The sequence below is a fragment of the Homo sapiens genome, chromosome 16 (assembly GCF_000001405.40).
Source record: "Homo sapiens chromosome 16, GRCh38.p14 Primary Assembly".
Taxonomy (NCBI): Eukaryota; Metazoa; Chordata; class Mammalia; order Primates; family Hominidae; genus Homo; species Homo sapiens.
Genome location: NC_000016.10, coordinates 32,724,005 through 32,734,984, shown reverse-complemented (window position 1 = coordinate 32,734,984; position 10,980 = coordinate 32,724,005). Strand labels below are relative to the sequence as shown.

The 10,980-nt window shown below is 43.7% G+C and overlaps 1 pseudogene; it reads left to right on the top strand.

The window, feature by feature from the left end:
* On the top strand, nt 5,445-8,573 carry ABHD17AP7 (ABHD17A pseudogene 7; annotated as a pseudogene).
* The last annotated feature ends 2,407 nt before the right edge of the window (nt 8,574-10,980 follow it).

Here is a 10,980-nt window from a genome sequence, read left to right as displayed (position 1 = left end):
TGGAAAGATCTAAGAGACTCTGAGGTGAAGTGCCATGAATCACTCTGGGGCTGAGGCAGTAAAAAGCCCCTGCCTCCTTCCCAGGTTCTCTCCTTTTCCACTTCCAGTACTTTGAAGGTTACGTGCAATGTGTGTCATAGGTTAATGATAGAGGAGTTTATTCTGACTGACATTGAACTTTATGGGAGCAACCCACAAACTTTGGTGTGGTTGAGCCACTGAGAATTCAAGCTTAGTATCTTCTTGTTGCTGTTGCTGTTTACCAACACTGTGGTATTTCTACAGGGCTCAAGCGGGCAGAGAAATTCCATGTGAACAAGAATGTCTCATGTTGGGCTTCTGTATAAATTGTGCTGTTGAAAAATGTTAAGCAGATAAAAATTTTAGAAATTCATTGCTCCACACTGTATCGATACTATTTTTGTCTCAGTCGAAGCCATCCTAAAGTTATATATACTTAGATCATATAATCTTCAATAGAATTGTTTTTACCAAGTTGCTTTTTGATGTTATAGATGAGCCTTAAGTAATTCACAACTGAATTCATACACAAATGTTATTGAGTCTATTTCCCACCATGTTAGAGAGGTTTATGAGAGCTCAATGCAGAAATGCCTCTGAAGTGGGAAAATCTATAGTTTCTCCAAAGAAACTATTATAGTTGTAACAGAAAGAATGATGGAAAATAATAAGATAGAAAATCGTATGAAGGAGTACAGAAGATGGGGCACTATTGAAGGGATTATTTAACAGCAATAAGGATGAAAATGTGTCATTGAAATTCTTTAGGTTCCACATAGAAATTGCACCAGTTTATCCCGGCAGACATATTGTTTAGAAGTTTTTAAGAAAAGAAATTTTTGAATCATGGTTTTACACTGTTTTAGGTCATGGGAACTAGTAAACATGTTTCACTCTGCAGACTATTAGTCAACATTTAGATCATGCTTTTCAATAAAGAATGTCAAATTGTGAGAGGAGAATCGATAGATCTAATTGTTACAGTCACTCAACTGACATGTTGACGGGCCTGGAAAATTTCTCACATGAATAATGGGTGAAGAGTCAAAGAATGATTCTTTTGGGGAAAAGAAGACCTGCCAGGGTTTTGGAAAGGGTATGTGTATGCATTTAGTATTGTTTAGTGTGGTAGCTCTATGGTCCTGACTGTCACATATTTATTGGGCTGCCATGTGTTAGGTGGAAACACAAAGCTGTCATTTTTTTGTAGGACAGAAAAGGCTGAATACTGACAATTTCATATGGTTCCACCTAATAGAATAGGAAACACAGGTATCTCTGAATTGTTTATCTAAGGTAGAATTTGGGGAAGAACTTAGAACTTATAAAAATTAAATTTTAGACTAAAATATATAGATATATCTAGAGTTGTTCAAAAATGAAAATAGAGCTGAAATATCAAGTGCTATAATGGAGTTCACATAAGAATTCCATGCTTTATATTTGAGGTTGGATATGTGCTTTTTCTTTATCCCTTTCATTTATATGGATCTAATCTTCTATAATGTTTAAAACATTTTGATTGAGATGTTCTTTGGCATTCTTTTTTCTCTTGATTTAAAGATCTGCTTTACAACCAAACAGTAAGATTAAACAAAACAAAACAATGCCCATGGCTTCATGATCACTCTACCCATTTAGAAAGGCCTTGTGCATGGCCTATTATGGTCATCTTGAAATTCTTTGTAATTTTTTATCAAAGGGTTCTACATTTTCACTTTTTACTGGGCCCTGAAAATTATGCACCCAGTCCTCAATCCGTGGTCTTCTTAAATTTGCATGCAGATTAGAATTATAAAGGTACATTAATTCTAGGCCGTCAAAGCCTAGCTTATAACTTTCAAATTACATTTGGGAATTGTTCTTATATAACAGCATTTATTGCTCCAAAGATCATTATGTAATAACTACTAAATAATCTATATGATTGTACATTTGGGAAACCATGAAAACTTTCTAAAAGAGCTCTGCTGTTTTATGTAACAATCATGAAATATTTCCAAATGCATAAATATAAACAATTACAATAGAAAATCTGAGAGACAAAAAAAGCTATGATAGTATACCAATGCAATTTCTTGAAAACAGATACACATGAAACAAAGAATAAAGGAACAGCAGGAAAATGTGCCACTATTGTGGTTACAGCTTTGAGGCAACACATTAAAATGCCAACCAGACACAGGTGGCAACAGATGTATCTACCACCAAAAAAAAAAAGTTAAATCAAGTGAAAAATTTCAAATGAAGTAACTGTTCAATGAAAAGGAAAAAGAATAAAAACCACATCTGCTTACATGGCAATGAAACATGAAAGATTCTGCTAAACATTTATGTTGAAAATTAAGATGGAGGTAATTATGCACACTCATCCAAAAATAGAAAACAAGGAATTAGTGGACCAATGCCAATGTTAATTTTGAAAACCTCAAGAAGAAGAAAATTAAGATATGGTTGATAGGTTCTCTACAATATAGCAAGAAAACTCTGCCCAAATTCTAAAGGATACAAAGTCTACTCAATTTAAAAACAAATGGCACGTTTCTGTTTCTTAAAAGACATACGCATAATCTGTGAGTGCATTTTCTACTTTAGAGACCATTTGAATTAAAATCCTTAAGTTCTTATGAATGTTTTCAAAATATGTACAGTAAATGAATAAAGCCCACAGTTATTTAAGGATAACATTTAAAATTATTTACTAAATCTTTAATATTAAAATAATAGTACATGCCATCCAGTCATAATCAAAAAAGCCAAGGTGATTATGGAGTATTGAGGCTGAAAAGAGCAAGATCTAAACCAACCTATTCTGGACTTCACTGTCAAGGAAAAAAATTGAGAGGAAAATTTTCAGAAAATACTTATACTTGTGAGATTGGTGATGAGAAACAATCTGTGAAATATTGCCATTTCTCTGGAGTAAAAATTTTAAATGATTGGTTATCACGATGTCCCTTTCTCTTCACACTCAACATCTTTCTGATTTGCTCCTCACATCTCAGGCATGCTGAGGCTATAATGTCTTTCCGTCTACCTTAGGTTTACTATTTTAAAATTGATTTTTGATGTTGTTGTGAACATGAATTTTGTATTAATACAGGAGGATGGGGTGTGTATTTCTGAAAGTCCAGAGTTGTAGGGGCAAAGAAGAGATTTCTGGAGTTCCCCTGCGTGCCTGCTTACAGAGGTTTCCTTCCTGATATTGTCAACTTCTACAATTCTTGCTCTGGCTCCATTTTAAAGCCCTGAGCAGTTAAGTGTCTTTTCCCGACCCTCATTTATACTACCATGAGGCTCCTTTGTAACATGAAATGTACAATGTGACCAATTGTTGGCTGCCCAAACAAACATACGTTAGGACTTTTCACTCTGGCCTCCTATACTGAAACATCATTCACATTTAGTAAAGGAAGGGGCACTCTGTTAAACTCACCACATTCTTTACTTTATGGAGTCAGATAGAGATATTCCACTAAGTCCTTTTGCTTGATCCCATAGAGACCATCCTAGGAAAACTGAATTAATATGAAAGCAGGTAGAGTGAATATTCATTAAAGTCATTTACAACAACATCCAATAGTGTCTCCAAGTGGAACAGATATTTAGAGACCATTTGGCAGGAGATAGGATGGGGAAAGAGAGTGGCTGATGCATGCTGAGAAGTAGGAGGAACAATCCAGCTTTTAAAATATTGTTCTTGTTAAGAGTCTGTTTATCAGGTTAAACACAGTCAAGTGGTCAGTTGGGTCTAATAATTCAGTAACTGAGAACAGATGGAGAATACATGGATATGTGTCTGTGTGTACACTCACATGCAAAACCAGTTGCCCTGACTTTATCTTACTTACATCAATCTATTTACTGATTTTGATAGGAAGAGTATGTATTTTAGATACCTCAAGAGTATCTCCTGAAATACTTCCATATTCTTGCCTTTTGAAGAATCTTTTTAAAGGAAGAAAAATAATTATTAGCAAAGAATTCACATTCCCAATGGCTCCATTTTCATCTCCTTAATCAGGTGTTAAAATTCATGGCTTGGGAAAAGTGGGATGTTTACAAGGCCTATCTATACCATTTATCTATACCATTAGTTTTAATAGCCTGTTCACTTGAACAATTTCTAAGTATGTGGTAAAAGAAACTAAACTAAAATAATAATGCATTATATTTGAAAACATCAGTATCCTGTACACAAAACTTCCATAAGTAGTTCTTCCTAGATTGAAACTAGAACTAATCCATTTCCAAAATCATCTATATTTTTCTGAAGACAAAAAAAATGTTGCTACAGATAATTGCCATAGGCTGCAAATATTCTGATTCATCCAGTATTTCTCTCTTGTTGCATGTTGTATAGATAAATATAATGCATCAATATTAGGATAGCATATATTTTGTTAAATGTTAATGCAGAATTCTAAATTTTCTAGCATTCACAGAAAAGCAAGCTACTGATAGTAAGTAGTATTTAAAGAGAAATCTTATCTACTACAATGAATTGAGAAATCCAGGATATTAAGACCACAAAAATGATTGTTTAGATGATTTAATTATAGCACAACAGGCTTTTCTGCTGATAATGTTATAATTATGTTTTAATAACCCAATCTCAACAAACATAGCTAGAGTACAAATGATGAGCACAAAAATCCATCTCATCTGTAGCTCAGACTAGTATTTCAAATGTAATTTCTCTATTAGTAATTTAGTCTGATTTTTATAATTCATTAGAATAAATCAATAACTGACTTAGAAATCACTTCTGTGATTTTTTTTCCACAGAAACATTAACAATACCACAAGCATTAAAATGTTGAGAAATATTTGTATATGATGATGTCAGTGGATGTTCCTTTCCTCAGCTAATAAATTCTAGTATAAAGTTTTCAGATCTGTACACAAAAATGGATCATAAAAATATAATCATGGTAGAAACTAGCAATTTTATGAATGTGGAGAAAGAGTTCAAATAGTACTTTTGTACTGTACTGTGTCCATGCAAAGCTTCATTCAATCAAACAAAAACAATACTGAATTTATTATGTTAAAATATTTAAGGACACTCTGGTAGATGAGATCATTTTCCTGCATTTGTTCACACTCTCTCCTATCTCCATCTCTAAGGGACAGATATAATTCCCCACTCCTTGACTTTGATCCTTGCTGTGTGATTTTGCTTAAGCCAAAGGGGTATCTTAGAGGATTTCAGGCAACAGAAGCCTGGCATGTTTTTGCACAGGCAGGTTGCACTCCTGACTTTTGCCATAACAATAACATGCTTCAAGTACCCGGGAGGGCTGAGGAGAATCACAAATACGTAGAACAGATCTGGACACCAGCTGCAGCTTCAAGCCAATGCTAGCCAAGCCCAGCCTAGATCAGCTGAACTGCGTCTGACCAGAGGTGCATGAACAAGGAAGGCAACGCGGTGGACCTGGGCCAGATGAGCAGCTTCTACATTGGCCTGTGTTCCCGCCTCCACTGCAACATTTTCTCCTACCACTACTCTGGCTACGGTGCCAGCTCGGGCAGGCCCTCCGAGACGAACCTCTACGCCGACATCAACGCCGCCTGGCAGGCCCTGCGCACCAGGTGAGGGCGACCCCGGGCGCAGCTCAGCCTGGGCACACCCGAGAGGGGACCAGGCCGGGGGCCAGGGGCCGGGGGGAGGGGCGGGCTTCCCTGGGAGGAAGGTGGGCGGCCCTGCAGGAGAGGAGCCACAGTGGACGCATGCTGCCAGAGAGCCGGACAGGTGAGCTCAGGCATGCGGGTGCTGCCTCCACATGGCTGAGGTGTGGCCAGGAGGTCCCCCCACACCCTGGCCTGTGGAGCCAGGCTCCCTGGGATCCCCTGGCCTGAGGACAGGAAGGGGCTGAGCTTGTCACAGGGGCGTGGACACCACCTGGCGGGAGGGGGTGGGTGGTGTCAGGGGGTCTGTGCATGTGTGGCTGGGAGCCCACGGGCTGAGGCCGCACTTGGGGCCAGGTGAGGCGAGGCTGCTGCATCGAGGTCCCAAGGCCTGGCCCATGAGGCCCCGTGGCTGTGGAGCTCAGCCATCCCGGGGCAGGGCCTGCAGGGTCAGGTGCAGACCCCCAGCACACACCTGAGGTCTCGGCCAGCTTCGATTCCAGATCCAGCCCTCCTAATCATCCAGGTCCCCAGCCCTGCGCTTGCCTGGGCCCTTCACTGGTGTTTGAGCACCACCCGGGCCAGTGCTGCTCTGGACTAGAAGACCCGCGTGGGCCTCTGGGGGCCTTTCCTGCTCACCACCCGCTGGGGCTGTCTCGTCCTGGCCCTGCCCTGCCCAGCCCAGTGGTCTGACCCGCTCCTGCAGGGGCCAGGCGCAGCTCTGAGAAGTCAGAGGCCCTGGGAGGTGGGGTCCTCGTTGCCTTGGAGATATCCCAGGCAGTCCCTGCTGTGGGCGTGGGAGCTGGGTCCCCTGGCACCACCCTGGCTCTGGGGGCCTCCCGGCAGTGTGGGGCGCCGAAACCAAGCACCACTTCATGCAGCTTCCTGGACCCCCTCCTGTCTCTACTGCCCGGGGCACTGGCAGAGTCACACCCCCCATGGCCAGCTCTGAGCTCTGTCTACTCTGCCGTCTGTCCTGCTGTCGCTTTGTCCTGCAGGATCCTCAGCCCAGAGCCGTGAGGGGGAGGCCAGATAGCGCTCAGGGCCTCTATGGAGGATGTGTCTTGTTTGATTGTCTGAGTGGTGACATCTAGGTGGCAGCTGGGGGCTCCTGCCTGGAGCAGGTGACAGGGCTGGGCTGGCTCAGCACACTACTGGCCTTGGCTGCCAGGGAGCAGGCCAGGGAGGCTGAGGCAGAGCTGCAGCCACAGGCACAAGCCAGGCAGCATCCTTTGGGGCATGGGTGAGCAGTGAGCTGTGGAGTGCTGCCAGGAGGCTGGGATTCCAGGCCAGGGAGGGAGACAGCCCTGCTGGTGGAGTCCGAATGCCAGCCAGACGGGACGCACACCTGCCCATGCTCCTGCCTTGCAGGAGGGCATCTGCCTGGCATCAGAGCCTGGAGCTTGTGGGAGGAGAGTTCTGGGGTCTCGGCATCGACAGGGTGGCAGGTGGGTCCCGCGTGGTTGGGACTGGGCATGAGGAGGCCTTGGGACTGGTGCTGGGTCAGCTGGGCCAGGGGCCGCACACCAGTGACCTGGGAGTGGGGGTGGCCCTGGGTGGGAGCTGGTGGTGCTGAGGTGGCGGAGGACTTGTCCACTCCCAAGGGAAGGCACTGGTGGGAGGAGATGCTGCCCCCGCAGCCACCACCCTCGATGTTGACCTGGGTTGGGCTGGCAGCTCATTGGGCATGGGACTCTGAGAGTCCAAAATTGGGTGGAGACATCTGGGGACACAGCTGCCTGAATTCCTCATGGCCAAGGGGGTAGGCAAGGGCTGCAGGGAGGAAGAGTGTACCCTGTCCCGGCCAGTGCACCAGGAAGAGCTTTCTAACCTGGGCAGGAAGGCGTGAAGCATTCAGGATGTGGGAGGCCACACAGTTCCCAGTGTGCGCCTAGGGGTGACCAAGAGGAGGAGAGGTGCCAGGGCTTCCCCTACCCTAGCCTGAGGGGGACTCCCTAGCCAGGATCCAGCAGATCCTGGCTAGGAAACGCCAGTGAACCATAGTGGCAGGGAACAGGACCAGGCCGCCGGCTTCGCCCACCGCTGCGGTGTTGGGGGGCTTGGGGGTGGCCCTTGAGACTGGTGTGGAGCCTGGGCCTGACCAACTGACTTGGCTGAGCGGGGAGACTGGAGAGTCGCATCCGGAGCTGGGCCCGGGGACGCCCGCTGGCAGGAGGGGTGCGCGCGCGTTGGAGGCCTAGGCTGACCCTGCTCAGGTGCCGCCAGGTACCGCATCAGCCCGGACGGCATCATCCTGTACCGGCAGAGCATCGGCACGGTGCCCACCGTGGACCTGGCCTCGCGCTACGAGTCCGCCACGGTGGTGCTGCACTCGCCGCTCACCTTGGACCTGAGCGTCGCCTTCCGGACACCAAGACCTACTGCTTCGATGCCTTCCCCAAGTGAGCAGGCTGGGGCGGGGACGGGGGCGGGGGCGGAGCGGGGCGGGGCCCGGGCCGGGCGAGGTCTCACCCGCCCCACGCCCCTCCCGCAGAATCCAGAAGGTGTCCAAGATCACGCCGCCCGTGCTCATCATCCAGGACACGAAAGACGAGGTGATGGACTTCTCGCACGGGCTGGCGCTCTCCCAGCGCTGCCCCAACGCCGTGGAGCCGCTGTGGGTGGAGGGCGCCGGGCACAAAGACATCCAGCTCTACAGCCAGTACCTGGAGCGCCTGCCCGCTTCATCTCCCAGGAGCTGCGCAGCCAGAGCGCCTAGCGGCCGCCAGGGCCCCAACCGGCCGGACCTCAGCAATAAGGCAGCCCCCGGACCTCACCCCGCGCCGGCCCCCCCAGGGACTGCATGTGGACCCCCGGGCGGCCCGGGGGACCCCGCCCCAACCCAGGGGCCGTGGACGATGTAAAGGCAACAGAGCTACGCACTCCTTTCCTTTTGGAAGCAAGAAGAAAAATCGTGAAAACGGAAATTAAAGATTTAAATTTTTTTTTAAAAAAACACAATGTTTATTAATATACTCCAAAGTTTTTCTTTTTTTTTTTTTGAGACGGAGTCTCACTCTGTCTCCCAGGCCGGAGTGCAGTGGCGCGATCTCAGCTTACTGCAACCTCCGCCTGCCAGGTTCAAGCGATTCTCCTGCCTCAGCCTCCCGAGTAGCTGGGACTACAGGCGCGTGCCAGCATGCCCAGCTAATTTTTTGTATTTTTAGTAGTTACGGGGTCTCACCGTGTTAGCCAGGATGGTCTCAATCTCCCAACCTCGTGATCCGCCCGCCTCGGCCTCCCAAAGTGCTGGGATTACAGGCGTGAGCCACCATGCCCGGGCGTTTTGCATAGATTTTTTAATGCAGAATCATGGTGGCAATGGCTAATGGCTACCAAGGTGCCATCGTTCAACAATCCTGTTATTCAGTCATCACATCTACTAAGTGTAAGCCATAATATCTTCTAAAATGAATTATAACTATTTTCTAATTGAAATAAATGGTATCACAATATTTCACTAAGTAATCTCTGCTAGTTTAGTCTCTATTTCATCTCCACGGAATGCCTTCTGAGTTCCTATAATTGTGACTAATTCTCTGAGACGACATCAGAAATATCAGTATAAACTATGAAACCTACAAAGGGGATTCCTCTTTTTCCTTTTTATTATAGAGATGCTTTTCTGTTTGTTTTCTGCACGCAAGTATGGTCTTAATCAATTTTGTATGCCCGTACCTAGGAGAGCCCCTGATTCATAATAAGACCTCAATAAGATTTGTTGAATAAAGTGAAAATATTATTTTTAGCTTTCCCTCACCATTTTCTTCAAAACAGACTAGTTCATAACTGAAATAGGCATTGTTTCTAGAAAACAGTCACTCCAACTGATCCCCTCATTTAATCATTTTTGTACTCCCTGAATCTATCATAATACCTGGCACATAGTGGGTAAGTAATCAATATTTGTTCACTGAACTAATGGAAGCATGAGTGAATGAAACAATACAGGCATTTTAAAAGTATAATTCAAGAGTGAAAGCATATTACTTGTCATTAGAGTGATTTTAAACAGCTAAGTATATGATAATTAGGAAGATTTACTTTCCTGCTTCATTTAAATTTTAAATATAGTGATCGAGGTAATTATGATTTTCATTCATTTATTCAATAAATGAATGTTTAATATTTTTTATCTCACATGATAGATTGATACTGGTCAAAGACATTACAATGATATTATACATAAAGATTTGTTTTAAATTTACAATATCTTGAAATTTTTCTCTTGTTAATCTACAAAGTATATTTATAGGTTAGGAAATATACTTTTTAAAATGTCAGATAATGATATTTTTATTTTCTATTTTATATTATTATTATTTTTGATACAAGGTCTCACTGTGTCACCCACACTGGAATGCAGTGGCATAATCATGGCTCACCACAACCTTAACCTCCCAGACCCAGGTGATCCTCCTACCTCAGCCTCCTGAGTTGCTAGGACTACAGGTGCCCGCCACCTTGCCCGGCTAACTTTTTACTTTTTTTTTTTTTTTTTTGGTAGAGATGAGTTTTCACCATGTTGCCCAGGCTGGTCTTGAACTCCTGCGCTCAAGCAAAACGGCAGCCTTGGCCACCCAAAGTGTTAGGATTACAGGCATGAGCCACCACTGTGGGGCAGATAATGATAGTTTTTCAAGAATCGGTAAAACATTGTCCTTCAATGAATTAGTGCAGAAGCATGAAAAACATCTATTATGAGCAAATCTGTGAAACAGATGTTGAAATTAGTATTCTAATAAGGCTTTTGTGCTTTTTGATGATACAAAATAATTTTGCTATGACAATACAGTTACTTAAATGAGAAGTATGAATAACTTGCTTTGATATGTTTGTGGTATGTTTCACTTATTTTTTGAGAAGGGTAATTATTAAATTTAAACTATATATGTAAAGAGTGCACATCAAATATTTTAAAACCCTGAAGAGTTAGGTCTTCATTTCAAGAATTGTTAAGTGTCTTAAGAACATGTTTATTTTCTAGAAATGTTGAGCCTCTTCTTGGGTAATGTGATTCTTTTAAAAATTTTGGAAGGATTTCTTATTACATTAAAAATGAATGTATACAATAGGAAGTTACTAGGATAAAGTGAATTTAGCAGCTATCTTGCTTTGTTATATGTCTTATAAATTAAAATTACATTTTCATAATTAAAAGCCAAGCTCATTTGCTTTGATAAGACTAAGAGGAAAGGAGTATTAAATGAAGTTAAATTAGATTTTACCGTCTTTTTAATAAGTTTCAGGCCTGGTTTGATAATATATTCCCAGATGCATAATTTAAAAATGATCTTTTGGCCGGGTGCCGTGGCTCAAGCCTGT